Source organism: Homo sapiens, chromosome X (genome assembly GCF_000001405.40).
Source record: "Homo sapiens chromosome X, GRCh38.p14 Primary Assembly".
Taxonomy (NCBI): domain Eukaryota; kingdom Metazoa; phylum Chordata; class Mammalia; order Primates; family Hominidae; genus Homo; species Homo sapiens.
Window position 1 is genome coordinate 148,551,597 of NC_000023.11, and position 17,091 is coordinate 148,568,687.

At 39.5% G+C, this 17,091-nt stretch overlaps 1 protein-coding gene across 5 annotated transcripts in view, besides 1 other annotated feature; it reads left to right on the forward strand.

The window, feature by feature from the left end:
- Positions 1-17,091, forward strand: part of AFF2 (ALF transcription elongation factor 2) — a 500,047-nt gene that overhangs the window by 50,980 nt on the left and 431,976 nt on the right. The window lies entirely within an intron of this gene.
- Positions 3,368-4,567: an enhancer, noted in NCBI's record as "MED14-independent group 3 enhancer chrX:147636485-147637684 (GRCh37/hg19 assembly coordinates)". NCBI's record gives its function as "activates an origin of replication core promoter dependent on BRD2, BRD4, P300/CBP and CDK7 cofactors, and independent of MED14, by STARR-seq in HCT116 cells {active_cell/tissue: HCT116}" and the evidence as "EXISTENCE:reporter gene assay evidence [ECO:0000049][PMID:35650434]".

Here is a 17,091-nt window from a genome sequence, read left to right on the forward strand (position 1 = left end):
TTCTGGAGACCCTGTGTATTGCAAAGGTCCCATTCAAGAAGAGGACTTCCTCTCTTTTGGAGAGCACCTGTGCAGTAAAGGGTTAACCTAGCAAGCTTGGGGTGTTCCAACCCTGCATATTCCAAAAACAGGGCCAATCAAGGGCTTCTGGGAGATAACTTCTAGGTCCTTGGAATATTCTGCCTGATGAGAGGGTCTTTGTATACCTGGGGAGTTGAGCCACACCAGATAGTTTATGCTAACAATGTGGGTTATGGTAGTGTCCTTGGGCCACTGTGTATCAGTTTGACCTCTGGAGGGGCTGGAGACTGAGTAACTAAAATCAGGCACGTGGGTGCTCCATGACTACTGACTAGTCCTCAATAAAAATCTGGACACCAATACTCCGGAGAGCTTTCCTGGTTGGAAATATTTTGTACATATTGTCACACATCATTGCTTGGGGAATTAAGCACTGTCTTTACTACTCTCCTGGGAGAGGAAAACTAGAAGCTTGTACTCGGTCTCTCATGGACCCCACCATGTGTACCTTTTTCCTTTGCTGATTTTAATCTGTATTCTTTCACTGTAATAAACCATAACCATGAGTATAGCAGTTTCTGTGACTTGAGTCCTTGTGGCAAAACATACTTGAGGGTGGTCTTGGGAACCCCTGACACAGCCACATGTCCTTTAACTCACAGAGAGTGATGGGGAAGGTCAGGGTTGAAGCGTGGTATGAAAACCCCAAAGCCTTGCCCAGTGTGTGTCAACTCTGACTTGATGTACAGCTTGAACTGGCTATTTTGTCCTCTAGTAGGCAGGGTCTTCACAAGCCAGGTGAATGTTGGAACCCAAGGACCTGACTGGGGGGAAAGCTGCACTTCATACCTGGGGTTCTATCCACCTGGGGAGGATATTGGTCAGTATCCCCTTCCCTGAGAATCAGACACATGTGTGCATTTGCCAGGGTTTCCCTTGCCAGGCAAGCATAGCAGAGGTATGGCCTTTAATTGCCTTTGGTTCTCAAAGTGTTCTGAGCAGTATACCTGAACCACTATGCTTGTTGGTCTGCTCACTTTGCTGTTTTGTTTTTTGAGTAGAGGGAATAGGTTTAATATTACAAAACAAGTCTTGGCTTGACAGCACAGATAGATGCCTTTGCATGAATGAAAAAGTCAAATCTGGGAGAATGGAGAATGGAAGACCTTAGAGCTTTAGATTTTTCTCTAACATGTTTTATTCAAAGCCTGTTTACCTCTGGATATGGAAATCGGGGACATCCTTTACTTAAAGCCTCTGCAGTGATAACAGCCTAAGTTAGGGCCCCAGCTCCATTCTAGGTATTTGTTGCTTGGTAGGAAGAAAATCAAAACAGTAAGAAATGAGTGGTTTTACCCATAGTAGCTTGATCCTGGTGGTAAGACAGGGAATTGCACCAAAGATCTGACAAATGGTGGGGATTTAAAAAATGCTCAGGATGGTTCTCCCCTCTGTGTCAGAACACATTATTTGAGGCTAAAAGGAGAGGAGACTCTTCTTTATGTACTTTTTAAATTGAACTGTAACTAATACACAATAAAATATACGGGTATTCAGTTCAGTGAGTTTTGACATTTGCTTACATCCAGGTAACTGCTACCCAAAACAAGACACAGACCAACTCTGTCCAATAGCAATATAATACAAGCCACATCTACAATTTTAAGTTTTTTTGCAGCCACATTAGAAAAGGTAAAAAGATACAGGTGAGATTAATTTTAACACTATATTTTCAATCCAGTGTATTTGAGTCATCATCATTTCAACACATAATTAACATAGAAATTATAATTAAAATTCACATTTTCTTTGTAACAAGTCTTTGTTACAAGCATATTTTATAGTTACAACACATTTCATTCAGATGCCAATATTAAAAAAATTGTGGTAGAAAACACATAACAAATGTACTGTGGCCTTCTCTGAAAGGGGTATAAAGTGCTCAGGCTGTGAATGAGTACAGGCTTCTGGAACAGAGAGCTGTCCTTGGGTTTCACTTCCCAGTGACTTTGAATCCTGAATCCCTGTGGTCAGAAGGCAGACTCCTAGAACTTGATCTGAAGACTGAAACTGTAGCTGAGCCTCTATCTGTGTCCTCAACTCATTCTTTGCTGTTTGTTTATTTCTTCCGTGTCCCCAGACCCTAACTTCCTTCCACTAATATTACTGAGAATTTGCCAATGAAGGACAATCTACAGAGTGCTCCCAAGAGAAAGGCATTGTAATCCCTGGAAGAACTTATAAGTCAGTGGAAGACACTTCCAGACACCTTTAAAAACTATGACATAGCCCTCCGACTAGAGGTAGCCTATGGTTAGAGGAAGCTTCCTCAGGTTAGAGGAAGGTACAACATGGAAGTATGGCTAGGAGTTGAGGATGCAAAGAGGAGGGTCTAAGAATGAATAGAGTGTGGGTTAACTGTCAGATGGCCAGCTCTACTATTTATAGGCTGTGTCACCTTGAGCCAATTGCTTCATCTCTCTCGGCTTCTTTGCCATTATCTGCAAAACAGGGATAATACACATATTTACCAGAGCTGTCAAATATTAAACAAAAAAGAATATTAAACATTTGTTGCAATGACTGGCTCATTTGCTCACTCATTCATTCAACAGATATTTTAAAACATCAACCATATGCCAGGTGCTGGGCTAGTTGCTGCGGATACAGCAATAAAGTGAGGTAGGCGTGGTCTGTATTCTCTTAAAGTTTGACATCCAGTTGAGGAGTTAAATTAACAATATTTATTATCATGGGGAGAGGCAGACATGAGAAAGGCCATGGTGCATGGTGCAGCTGAAGAAAAGTGAGAGGTTTAAATCAAGTTTACCTGTGCCTGGAGGGAGACAGGGCTGGAGGTTAGCAGAGGGTGATAAAACTGAAGGAGTTAGATCGGGTCCCCCATCACAGTCTCAATCCTGCTGAAAAAAGTTTGGAAATCTTCAATAAGTTTTCCAATATTTGGGATTATTCAAGTATTTTAATAAAACTAGAATAGACTATTGTTTCTCGTGGGGATAATGGAAGACACTCCAGTTTAATTTGCATTTGCCATGTCTTACCATCCTGATTTCAGACTCTTTAAGATTAGGGAGCATGCTATCCCTGAATCTTCCACCCAAACTGCTTTTGCAGTGTAGCTTAGACTTAGATTCTTCTTGACTCTCTGCATATGTTGGCCAGAACCGGGTCTGGCACAGAATGAATGTTCAATAGATGTGTGTTGAATGGCTGGATGGGAGAATGGATGGATGCCCAAGACGCTGGCAGAGTCAGTCTGGCTATTCCAGGCTCCTCCCACAGGTCAACCCCTGCAGAGAAGAGGCATCTTTCCATTCAACAGAAGGGGCCCTGGCCTAGAAGTTAAGATGTCTGGGTCTTAGCCCTGTCTCTGCCATTCATTTGCTTTGTGATCTTGGGCAAGTCACTTAACTCCTCTGGGCCTGTTGCCCAACCTGCAAAACGAATGGGCTTTGACCTCTGGGATCGCTTCTGTGTTTCACATTTCATGATCATCTGGCTCCCAAGGTTCATTTTCTCCAGTCTCCTGGCCCCTGACACTCACATGTTGTGTAAGCTGCTCACTAGCCTATATTGTGTGGAACTGAACTCAAGCCAATTAAAAACAGAGTACATTAACAAGAGTTTCAGTGAAGATGTCTGATCCCATTGTTGTTGCAAAGGATTAGTGAAGGGGCTGCGAGAGGATTATGGTCTCTGTTGAAACCTGTGTTTAATTATTCGTTCCTTTCTCTGTATTTTCATCATACACCCACTGAGTACTTGACCATTGCTGTGCATGAAGAAGAGGAAGAATTAATCCTCATCTGACCTCTATTTAAATGATACATTTTAGTTTTGACATAGAGTGATTCCAAGTTCTGCCCTGATAAGGCCAGTTTCCGCCACCTTTTTGATCTGTAACACGTTCTGCTTCCTGGTTTGAGCATTGGACTTGGATTTGTCAAGACATGTCCCTCAGCAATATCAGCATTTCTTTTTTGGGACAGTTACTGATTAAGCTCACAGCACTGGGGAGAAAGAACTGAACAGCTAGAAAGATGACAGCCAATGACTATAGGTTTCCCATCCCATTTTTGTCATCTCTCACAAAACTAAAATCACCATAAGAAATCTTTCTGCATATGTAAGAGTCTGTATTTTCAGCCTTGGAATATTCATTCAGTTTTTATGCATCTGATTATGCACATACCAATAACCCTCTAATTTATGGATGCTTGCTATTAGGTTTTGTTTAAATGAGTTCCTTCCAAAAGGAACCAGCCTTCTGTTCTAAAGAGACACGTAAACCACACGAGGTGAATTTTCCTACAACTGATTTCAAATGTGGAGTTTTCAGGGTGTAATTTAGATGTAGCTGTGGTGGTTTATGGCCACAGAAACTGTAGGTGTGTGTGTAGGAGGCTACATGGTACTTACGAATGACTGGAAGCCAGAGAGCAGAGGGAGAGAGCCAGCGGTGGAGATTTTAGCTCAGTTTCACATCTCTACCCCAAGGCATTAGATGCCGCTAATTCTTCAAAAGCCGAAGATTTGTTTTACAGAAGAAATTCTGATTTGATTAAGATATTGCTTCCAGACCTAATGTTCCTTTAGCAAATCATGCCTACATCCATGATTAGAAAAAAACTGCATGTTATCTAAGCATAGAAAAGCCTCATGATTTGAAAGTATTCTACAGAAGTAACATTTAGTGTAATTACAGTACATTTAGATTAATTATAGCCGTGGTTCCGGGCGCCACCATACTTAAGGTTATATCAGCATTTTTGTTTTTAACCCTGCGTGGAGTAAGTTTATCCTCTGGCTGCATATTTTTTTACTCCAGAAAATATTTGAGTTCCACATAATGTGAGACCAAAATTGAATGGCCTTTTCTACTTTTAGGCTAACTTTAAAAAGATATAATTTCAGAGAGGCTATTCTCTTTAAGATTGCTGTTTTTCTGTAGAATCTCAAAATAGGCAGAGATTAATTTTGAAAAAAATGAAAATGGTCATGATGCTTAGATAAGAAGTTGACTTGCTATAAATGGCTTGTGTTTCCCTTTGAAAGGCTTTATCGCATTGGCCATAAAGTAAAACCTGGTTGACATTTAACTGCCATGTCTGTCCAGAACTTACCTATCTGATCTGAGTGTGTGGCTCCATTCAAATTGGGCCCTTAGGGAGGCACCATCTTATTCCAACAGTTCTACCTGACCAGGCAGGTAACAGTTTGAAATTTCATCTTTGTGAATGGTCTTTGGAATCTGTGGCTGGTTCTTTTTTAATATCATTTATTATAAACTCCAGATTTTCATTTCTTGATGGTAGTGGTGATTGTGATTTTTTTGAAACAACCAGAAAGCAATTTGGAGCAAGATTTGGTGAGTAAGGAGGCTGATAAGGTTGAATATAGGTTTTACTAAAAAATGAGCTGTGGCTCTAAGATAATGAGCCTAATTTTCATGCATGGTTCATAACTGTAGCTGAAGGTAATTCCCTCAGAGCAGTTCTAAACATGGTTGAAGAATGCATGTCTCCTTGAGGGTAGTGTATAGTTTCCTCATAGTGTTGCTTCTAAGAGTCAGCATTTATTTAAATGTTAAATGTCTGGTAGTTTCTCTTATGAAGAGTCTCATTGTCTTATAGTTATACATCATGTAAATAAAGGGAGATTTCTTTAAATTCTAAGTATTGGACTGTAATGAAGCTAAAAATTGTTATCACTTACGGCCTATTTTGCTGTTGCTATAATAGAATACCAGAGACTGGGTAATCTATAAAGAACAGAGATTTATTTGTTACAGTTCTGGAGACTGGGATGTCCAAGATCAAGGAGCTGCATCTGGCAGAGCCTTCTTGCTGTGTCCTGCCATAGCAGAAGGTGGAAGAACGTGGTTCCTAACTGTAGCTGAAGGTAAATCCCTCAGAGAAAGAATGCATGAAAAAGAGAGAGAAAGAGAGAGAGCAAGGTGGGAGCAAGGAGAGTGCTGAACTCTTGAAGATATCACCTCTCAACACTCTTGCATTAGAGATTAAATTTCTAACTTTGGGGGAGACATTCAAACTACAACAACCTGTCACGTATAATAAAGGCATTTCCTAAATCTATTATCTTTATACAAATGCATGGAAACATTCTCAAAAATATTTGTTAATGCTAGCTAATAGTTGGCATTTTATTGAGCACTTACCATTAGTCAGGCAGTGTGTTTCCCGTGCTTTAACTGGTTTACCTATGACTTTTTGAGAACCTTAGAGACCCATCCTTTCAAATGGTGCCAATTATATTCACAGAGAGGTTAAATAACTTGTCCAAGGTACACAGCTTGTAAAATGCTGAGCTGGGATGAAAAGTCAGGCCAGTCTAACTCAGGGTCTGCACATTTTGCCACACCTGATGCTTCAATACATTTGATAAACACATGCATCCTGAGTAGAGCCACAGATTACTGCTTCCCAGCATTCTAGCTGTTCTCTTGGTTGATCAAGGCAAAAGGAAGGACTGTTCAGCCATTTATTACAGAGCAAGTTGTATCAAATGAACAAAAGAATCAAGGCAAAAGCAGTGAATTTCTCCAGCCCTCACTTGGTTTTATTTGTCTTTTCCTTTTCTATTTTGCCCTGCTAGGTTATATTTTACCTTTTCACGGTGGAGTTGTGCGGGCGAGTGGCTCTTATCAGGAACAAATGATGCCATAAATCCGGGCTAAAATCAATGAGGTTATGAGCTCTAAGAGTGAGATGCAGTTCTGTGGGCCCAAGTGTTTTCCCTTCTTAACATGCTGCACCTTTGAAGCCAGAAGCCAGAGGCTTGGGTGTTGTTCTATTCGCAGCTAGTTCTGTCATTTACAGACATATATATAGCTGCTCTGTCACTGAGCTGGGTTCCCAATACCCATCTTCCCATTTTAAACAAGAGGAACGTCAAGAAGAAATAATAGAGAGTACGTATGCTCTCATGCCTGTCTCCAAACATATAAGAAAAGAGACAGAAAAGGAAGCGCCAAACAAAACCACCTTTTGGTAATAACACTGTAATGTAAAAATTATAGCCTGGAATTCTTGCAAATGGCTTCATCTTCCTCTCTTGGAGAGACTGGCACCATCTCTTTAGCCTTACTCAGCTAAAGGGAACTGATTTACCAGTGCCAAATGCATTAATTTAGTAAGAAAGAGAAAAATAGCAATGGATGCCATTCAATTTTCTGATGACTGGTTATGGCCATTTTATGAAGTACTGAATTCGCTTAGAGGAAACCCATGAACAGACACCAGGCATCCTAGGTAGTGGCTGTGAGCGAGAAACATGCCACTCAAATACTGTGTCTTCCATTCTCAGCTGTTGGTGCCCTTAGTGTGTGAGATAGTGGTAATAGGAGTGACCATTGAGATTTCCACTCCAAAAAGACAGGTTCAATCCTGTAAGAGAAGCTAGTTTGGCAACTGGAGTTGGCCTGTTCTAGTTGACTAGTTGGGAAAATGGACTTCTTTTCTACTCCCTCATCACACAGATTTCTTGGCTTGGGGAAGGGCCATTACTAGGGTCACAACATTTTAAAAATATCACTAATCAAGATGAATAATATTTTAATGTGGTATTTGTGAAAAATCAAGACGCATGCAGAAAAATCCACAATGAATAAACAATCTGATTTTTTTTTAAACTTTAAGTTCTGGGATACATGTGGAGAACGTTACAGGATTATTACGTAGGTATACATGTGCCATGGTGGTGGTTTGCTGCACCCATCAACTCGTCATCTCCATTATGTATTTCTCCTAATGCTATCCCTTCTCTAGCCCCTCACCCCGTGACAGGCCCTGGTGTGTGATGTTCCCCTCCCTGTGTCCATGTGTTCTCATTGTTCAACACCCACTTATGAGTGAGAACATGCAGTGTTTGGTTTTCTGTTCCTGTGTTAGTTTGCTGAGAATGATGGTTTCCAGCGTCATCCATGTCCCTGCAAAGGACATGAACTCATCCTTTTTTTTATGGCTGCATAGTATTCCATGATGTATATGTGCCACATTTTCTTTATCCAGTCTATCATTGATGGGCATTTGGGTTGGTTCCAAGTCTTTGCTATTGTGAATAATGGTGCAGTAAACATACATGTGCATATGTCTTTATAGTAGAATGATTTATAATCCTTTGGGTATATACCTAGTAATGGGATTGCTGGGTCAAATGGTATTTCTAGTTCTAGATCCTTGAGGAATTGCCACACTGTCTTCCACAATGGTTGAACTAATTTACACTCCCACCAACAGTGTAAAAGCATTCCTATTTCTCCACATCCTCTCCAGCATCTGTTGTTTCCTGACTTTTTAATGATTGCCATTCTAACTGGTATGAGATGGTATCTCATTGTGGTTTTTATTTGCATTTCTCTAATGACCAGTGATGGTGAGCTTTTTTTTCATATGTTTGTTGGCTGCAAAAATGTCTTTTTTTGAGAAGTGTCTGTTCATATCCTTCACCCAGTTTTTGATGGGGTTGTTTGTTTTTTTCTTCAAACTATACTACAAGGCTACAGTAACCAAAACAGCATGGTACTGGTACCAAAACAGATATATAGACCAACAGAACAGAACTGAGGCCTCAGAAATAATGCCACACATCTACAAGCATCTGATCTTTGACAAACCTGACAAAAACAAGCAATGGGGAAAGGATTCCCTGTTGGAAAAACTGGCTAGCCATATGCAGAAAACTGAAACTGGACCCCTTCCTTACACCTTATTCAAAAATTAACTCAAGATGGATTAAAGACTTAAACGTAAGACCTAAAATCATAAAAACCCTAGAAGAAAACCTAGGCAATACTATTCAGGACATAGACATGGGCAAAGACTTGATGACTAAAACGCCAAAAGCAACAGCAACAAAAGCCAAAATTGACAAATGGGATCTAATTAAACTGAAGAGCTTCTGCACAGCAAAAGAAACTATCATCAGAGTGAACAGGCAACCTACAGAATGGGAGAAAATTTTTGCAATCTATTCATCTAACAAACAGCTAATATCCAGAATGTATAAGGAACTTAAACAAATTTGTATGGAAATATCTGATTTTTAAACAAAGACAGGATCTGTAACAGTGCCATTCTGAGCCATATTGAAGCCTGAGGCAAAAGGAAAAAATAAGACATTTCGATTTTTAACAGTATTGCATTAAAATTTCATTTATCTTGATGACAGTTTTTTTCTGGGGGGGGCACCTCCTGTTCTCCTCAAAGTCCAGCTCTAATGCTTTCTCTCTGGGGTTTTACCTGATTTTTCTCTGTACCCCTCGCCACTTCAGTGTGAATGTATTTCACCTCTGGTCATCCATCAATACTTTCTGCAGATCTCCTTATGGTTTCTGCCATGGTAGACCATATTTTTTATGTATTTGAAGTATTTGCGTTTTTTGTAAGACAATGGCTTCCTTGAGGATGAAGTCTATGTCTTTTGCTTTTTGTATCCATAATGCCAGCCAGACATTTTGTAGGTAATAATAAACATATTTGTTGATTGTTAAAAACCAAAACATGAGTGAATGAATGAGTTAAATGAATAAATGAACATAACATTTGAGATTTCTTTTAGCATTTTATTAGTGGATTTACATTTCAACAATTTTCCTAAATATAACCTTGGGTCAATTTTGACCCTTAATTTGGGAAATCAAAGTCTCCTGGAAAGAACTGGCTCTAGGGTATTTTCTCTTATAACCATCAGGCAGGGAGTCTTGTTTGCTAAATGGGTAATGATAAAGTCATCTTCATGAACCTATCCAAGCATTGAACTCATTTTCATTACATAGAAAACTCAAGAGCAATTCAGCATCAAATTAGTCAGTCTTAGGACAGAGATGATATTTTGCTGAGTGTCAGCTTTCAGTTGATGCTTCATCAAGCCTATCTGGCTTTATTCTAGGGTGTGGTCCTTATCCGGGTCCCTGCCTCAGAATCAGGAGTGGGGTGGGCTTCTCTTTCCAGATGCCAATCCTTACCTGTACCTCGTCTCACTCCTACTGAGCCAGGATCTCTAGGGGTTGACTTCTTTGGTCCTAGAAGGAATGCGGTGGAATACACTGCAGCCCTTAGTAATCTAACCTAAATGGTCTGTGTGGCCAAGCTGTTTGGAAGCCTACTTTACTTTTTTGAGGGCTACATTTTCTTACCCATTTTTATGACAGTGATTCAGTGGTGAGTTTCTTTTAGCTGAAATGGTTCAACCAAGGGGAAATAATCTTTTTTACTAAAAGAAAAAAAAAACAGAACCAGAGTGGGGCAAGTTATACAATATTCATGATCACTTCAAATTAGAGAAGTAAAAGTCAATGTTGAAGTGGCCCCTTGCATGTGGAGCTATTATGATTAGGATTCACGGTCTGTGAAATCTAATCCTAGTTGCAGGACACTATGAAATTATTGAACTTACATATGGGAAAATGTTAATGAAAGTGGTGAGTTCCCACCCACTAACGTTGTTGCTTGTTTTAGAATTTAAGACAACAGTTATGCCAGCAAATGACAGCTTTGTTCTGTCTACCTGATGTCAAATGACTGGTCTGACTGATTTCTTTTTAAACCACATTTAATCAATTGTCAAGTCGCTTTGGCATCACACAGACACAGCCTGTGCTGTGCTGGGAGCTGTGTATTGATTTAGTGTTAAGAAGCCATGGCTGAATGGTGAGTAAAAGTCATGCAACACCAGAATATAAACCATGGAAAGAATGGAGACTCATAATCACAGACACTGCTGCTCAGCTTTCCCAAGTTCTTCAGAAAAGTACAACCTCTAGTGTCTCCCCTGGGCCCCTTGTTTTCTGCAAGCAACTCTCCAAAAGATTCTAAACCTCACTCATAGCTACGGGTAACAAGCCACCAAAGGGCCTCAGTTTTGTCTTCTCATGTAAGCAGTCATTAAAACAATCTGTCTAACCATGCTTTCTTCCTTTGCTTCCCCAAGCCCTCTGGAAACCAAGGCTAGAGACATAGGTCAGCTTAACTATTCCAAACAAAACCCCAAACAAACCTGAAGACAACTGAGTTCAGGCTGAAGGTGATTTCATTGTTATTCCCAAGAATAATAGATGTCTCCCTTCCTCTCTCTTCCTCTCTTTATTCCTTCCCCTATCTCTTTTCCTTTCTTGACCTCCTGAAAGGGGCCTGCCAAACTGGAGGCCCTGAACTAGGTACTGGGGGCTCAGTGGGGAACTTGATGCCTGGTTGCATGGAGTTTACATTTCAGTCAGGGTCTGCAGACATGAAAAAAGCCACAAAGAAAGGCACAATCCAGTTTCAGATTGCAATAACTCATCAGAAGAAAGTAAAACAGGTTCCTGTAATGCAGTTACAGAAGAGGAAGAGGCCGACTTTAGCCTTGGTTGTCTGAGAAGGCCCTGTTTGAGCCGAGGCCTGCAGGATGAGAGGAAGCTGGTCAAGTGTGGATCTTGGGGAAGCATTTCAAGGAGACAGCAGTGCAATTACAAAAGGCCCTGAGGCAGGGACATGCCTGGCTTGTTCACAGAATAAAACGAGCCTTGTTAAGGATGGTAACTTTATAGAGGATGAGGTTAGGGATGTAGGCAAGGATCAGACCTGTGGGTACTTCAAAGGGCCAGATAAGCAATTGGAATTTCATTCTACCTGCAATGGGAAGCGTTTGGAGGAGTTTAAGCATGGGCAGGGGGATCTGATTTACATTTTAAAGGGGCACATTGGCTGCTATGTGGGGAACAAAATGTAGGAAGGCAAAGAAGGCAGTGGAGGCCAGCTGGGAGGCTGTCATTGCAGTGGTGTGCACCAAGGCAGTGGCCATGGAAGGAGAGAGAGGTTGGAGGTGGAGTCCACAGAAGTTACTGATGGATCCTGTGTGTGTGTGTGCATGCTGGGGGTGATGGAGGTGAATGAAAGGGAGGAGTCCAGTATACCTTCTCAATTTTTGTGTTGAGCGGCCAAGAGGATAGTGGTGCCATTTGCTATGCTTTATGCTTATATAACTCGGACAGTCCATTGAGATGGTTTTTCACAAAGGACTAATCTTTGCCAAGTAAGTTTTATCTCTGGTGAGACAACAGTAAAATAAAACTATTTGCAGTACTCAAATGGTTGTCTTTTACTAGCAGATTCACACATTCATGTGTAGGATTTCTAACATCTGGGGACTGATTTTCAGCCTGGGTTATCTTCCAGACTGTGAGCTACTTGAGGGTAAATAAGACACCATATCTTATTTCTCCTGGTACTTCTAGTGTCAGTGTCAGTGACCAGCACATGCCAGGTGTTTTATAAATGCTTGTTGAAAGGAAGAGAGGAAAGACAACTGACCCTCTCCAGAACTTGACTATCTTTTGTTTCTAATGCTTATCATGACAATGAAGAGGACACAAAAAGGAAAATAAAATAAGGGCATCTCTGCAGATTAGGAAGAAAATTTCAATATATCCTGAAGGGAAAAAATATGATAGAACAAAACAACAGACATGCTGTAGATCACTTCTTCCCTCACTGTTGAAATATTCAATAAATCTATAGCAGCACTTACCTAACTGTCTGGTAGTATCTTAGTATTTAGGACTAAATTTCAACTCAGTTGATCCTTTGAATTCAATCCCAGATAAGTTTTAAATATATATGTTGTTCATGTCTGAGACACTTAGGATGACAGGTATATTATCATTAGGCTATATTCAGTAACTAATAAAGAAATTATTAAGAAAGGGAAGTACAAAATGCCTATGTAATTGTAGAGGAGCTGCCTCATTCATTTGATGCAATAGAGTCAGTGAGCTGTCTGGAAGAAAAACTATTTTCCTCCAAAGCATTTGGTAGTTCCCTCTTGATTTGAAAAAAAAAAAAAAAAATCAACGTTACTCTGCATGCCATTTTGGAGGCGTTTTGACATGGCCGAAACCTGCCTTTCCTTTTTTCACCCCAGCCTCTGCTCTGCCATTTTACACCATTTTCCATTCTTAATTGCTTACTCTTCTGTGCCTTTAGTCTTGCTCTTCCAGTGGCCAGGAAGATATCTCCCTCACTTTCTCTACTTCAAGTAGCCTAATTATCCTTCAGTGCTCAGCTCAGATGCAGTCTCCCCAAAGCAGCCTTCCTGGACTTCCCCAGGCTGAATTCATACCTTCCTCCATGTTTCCTCTGCTTTGTATTATGTGCAGCTTTTATGGATGCCTCCTACAACTACATTGTATTTATCTTCCACAGTTCCTAGGTAGCACATTCCACACAGTAATACTCAATAGAGGTTTATTGAGTGCTTAAGTGGAATTGCTTTAATGTCATGGTCCTGTTTCTTATTGTCTTCCTCTGCATCAGAAGGAGGACATGTAGAATTGGCTGCTCTTTGCTTTTTACAGCAGGTCAAAATAAATGCAAGCTCTGACACATTACATGGAATTGAAATTAAGAAGAAAGAGTATGATGCTTGTTATCAGTGGAATCATGGGCATGGTAGGAGAAAATTATGCTAGTGACAGGACTGCTAGTCTCAACCTAGGAAACTGGCAGTAGTTGGCTTTGTGACTGCAGCCAAAGATTATACCATATTATATTAGTTGAATGGTTGAATATATATCTGTTCTTGAAGGAATAGTATGTAATTAATCTCTAGTTTTTAAAATATATTTATGATAAGAACTCTGTTTCCCCTGTATTTTATTTTTCTTAGGTTGTTAAAAAAAACTACTGACATCTTTCAAACACTTTACTCAATATTCCCCCAAAAGCATCAGCAGCAAAAGTTTATGAATATTTTTATTAGAGATGATTTGGATTTTATTCCTGCAACACAGAGCTAGAAAAATTTTAAGGTCATTAGCCATAAGAGTTTTAAATACATTGTCATTCGAGTATGTTAGTTTTAGCTTCATAGTTCTCTGTTATCTTTAGCTTTTCCCATTTTTAAGTTAATAATGATAAAAATAAATTTCATACTTATTAGCTTTTTTCATCCTAAGGTGTTTAACAAACCTTAGGGGTACAAATATAATGTGTAGCAATCCATATGCTTGCTCATAGGTTTATGGCCCTAAGAGCATCATTTGATCACAATTATTTTTGTTTCATTGACATTCCACACAATCAACTGAAGAATTGGGTCCTAAGTTACTGGAAAAGTACAAGTAGAAACTCTTGTCTAGCCAGTTAACGTGTCTTTGAATATCTTTATTTCTATTCTTCCTTCCTTTCAACAACCCTTTGTTACATAACAGCTATGGTTGGGTTCAGAGCCCAAGACTAGGGGTATAAAGATCAACAAGGTTGTTAAAAGTTCATATATATATATATAAAATATACATGCATATCTATGAGTTAGGTTAAAGGTATATATAAATATGTGCGTGTATAGTTAGAAGTATAAATGAGAAGTACATTGTCAGATGTGTATACATATCCTTAGTAATTTTAATTTCCTAATTGTTTACTCTCTGCCAGGCACTGTGCCAAATAGTTTATGTGCATCATCTCATTTAACACTTGCAACAACTCTGTGAGGTATCATTATCGTATGGTGCAAATAAGAAAACCAAGACTCAGAAATATTATTATTATCTATTTTGCCCAAGTCTGTCAGCTAACAGTTGTCACAGTCAGGGTTGAAACCCAAGTGTGTCTGACTTCCAAGCTCATTCTCTTTCCCTATGTTTTTAAGTGTCTCTGGTTGAATCAGATGCTGATTTCTTCCCAGAAGTCTAGATTCAGAATTAAAGGAACAAAAGAATGAAAGTATTAAAATGGTTGCTTGAATATCAAAACTGGATGGTCATGAATACCAAAGATCTATTTGTTTTATTATATATATATATGCTCTGGCAATCCTGCATTGGAGTAGAGAGTCAGTTCTCAGACAATAGTTCTCTATTTGAATCAGAGCAATGAAATGCAGCAATTCAGTGACAGTTGCATCCCCCTTAGGTTCCCCAACTGAAGACCACCTTCTGGCTGGATTACTTTATGGTGTGGTCCTTTTGGTACTTCAGTAGCTAAGAAAGTGTTTTCAGATTAATAAGATGTTGAAACACCAGATGAGCCATCAAGGGGTGTGCAAGGTCTCTATCCTTAAGAATCTCCATGTTGAGAAAACTGTTCATCCTAGATAGCTGAACCGTTCACCTCTTGGGATCTTTGACAATTCTGTGATTTTTGCAAGACATGCACACTTATCAAGTTAATTTCACCTTAAGCCAAAATCTCCTTTGTAGCTCTTTATAACCAAAGTGCCAGCAAATCAACAAGGTGTCTCTGACCACCCTTGGACTGGATTAGACTCTCTATTAGGCACTTGTGGTACTTTTTGCTTCATAGTATTTCTTACTCTTAGAGTTCAGTGATTATTTGTGTAATGCCTGTCTGCCATGCTGGACTATGAACTCCAGTTGGACAGAGACTGTATTTGTAATGCTCAGTACTCCACCTTACCTGCGGTGCTTAACCTTGTGGCTGGCAAATAGCAGGAAGTCAATATATATTTATTGATGGAAAAATAAATGACTGAAATTTAATAGAAGACTGAACACATACAACCATGCAGCGGATTTAGTGTTGATTTATGCTACAGTGATTCTCATTCTTAATATTTAAGCACACCCCTAGTTCAATACCTCTTTCATGACCTAACAGCTCTAGGGGTTTTATGTGATGGAGGGCAATTCTGTTTGCTTGGTGATTACAAGAGGACAGATACAATATTTACTAGCCTTAGCAATTCCTGAGCAAATGTGGTCCCTGGAGAAGGGAACATAGTAATAAAGCAGGGAAACCTAGCCGTTATCTTGAAGCAAAGCCACACAGGCATCAAGGCTGCAGCTCGCATTCCTGTGGTCTGGAGCTCTGGAGTTTTCAAGGGTTATTTATGGTGACACTGATGAGACACTTCATTTAAATACTGTAACTGCTGAAGTATCCCAGAATGAAAAACTCAGCTTACGGTGGAGTCAATACCTTGTTATTTCTTTTAACTCTCTGATATACCATTGTTTCAAGGATTTACACTAAAATACTTGAGTCTTGAGTCCTAAAATGACCCAAGAGAGATAAACTGACCATGGCTGCCTCCTGTACATAGGATTTGGTTTCTTAAAATGAAGCTCACTCTTATCTTTACTCAGCCCATTGTTCTTTAATTGGTCAAATGACGCTATAAATGAAGGACTTTGATAGCAAAAAATAAATGTTTTATACATTGCTAGAAAAAGCTTTAGGAGAAAATTTTAGCAAAAGAACAGATTCTTTCTTGTTTCTATAGAAACCAGTAGTGATCAGGAGGAGCGAGGTGTTCTTTTAAGCATACACATTAGTAAGGCCAGCTCAGCAGTCTCCAGCATACTGGAGAGCTGGAGTCAGAGACCCACTAGCTGGGGGAGTGCCTCTGTCTGAGTCCTTTTGATATCATTGGGAGTTGGGGACATCTTGCTGGAAATACCTGGTTCCTCATAAGCTGAGTAGGGTTGCAGTCCACAGTCACTCAGCATCATAGAGCCAGAAAGGTTTTTAAAGGAATCTCCTGTCAAAAGGGGAGGAAAAAGATAAACATAGGAAAGCTTTAATATCAGATGTCAACAGGCCTTTAAACATGCTCTTTACCACTGAGCAATAAATACCCTGGTTGAGTCCTGACCAGATCACTTATAAACTGTCCAAAGTACGCATTCGAATCATTGGATTGTATGACAATTTGTTTCCCTTTTGGTTTGTCTACTTCCATAAAATCTTTAAAAAATGAAATTTGAATTAAATGTATCTTTTAAAGTTAAATTTCTAGAGCTGTTAGATTCCTGACAAGTGAATGTTGGACAAGACTTACAATCAAATTCCAAAGCAAATACTTTTCTAAAGCCTAATCAGTACTACAGCTTTCAATGATTTCTCTAGTCTTTTAAATGAAGTTTAGGTCAAATGTAATGACAGGATGAAGCAGATGCATTTTGCTTCAACCTGACATGCCCCAGAAGGTAAGAGAAATATCTGGTAACTGACAAAAGAGTTTTCTGTTTGCTTGACATTTACTTTGTATGTAAATAATCCAGTATATTGGCATGTCAATATATTAGTT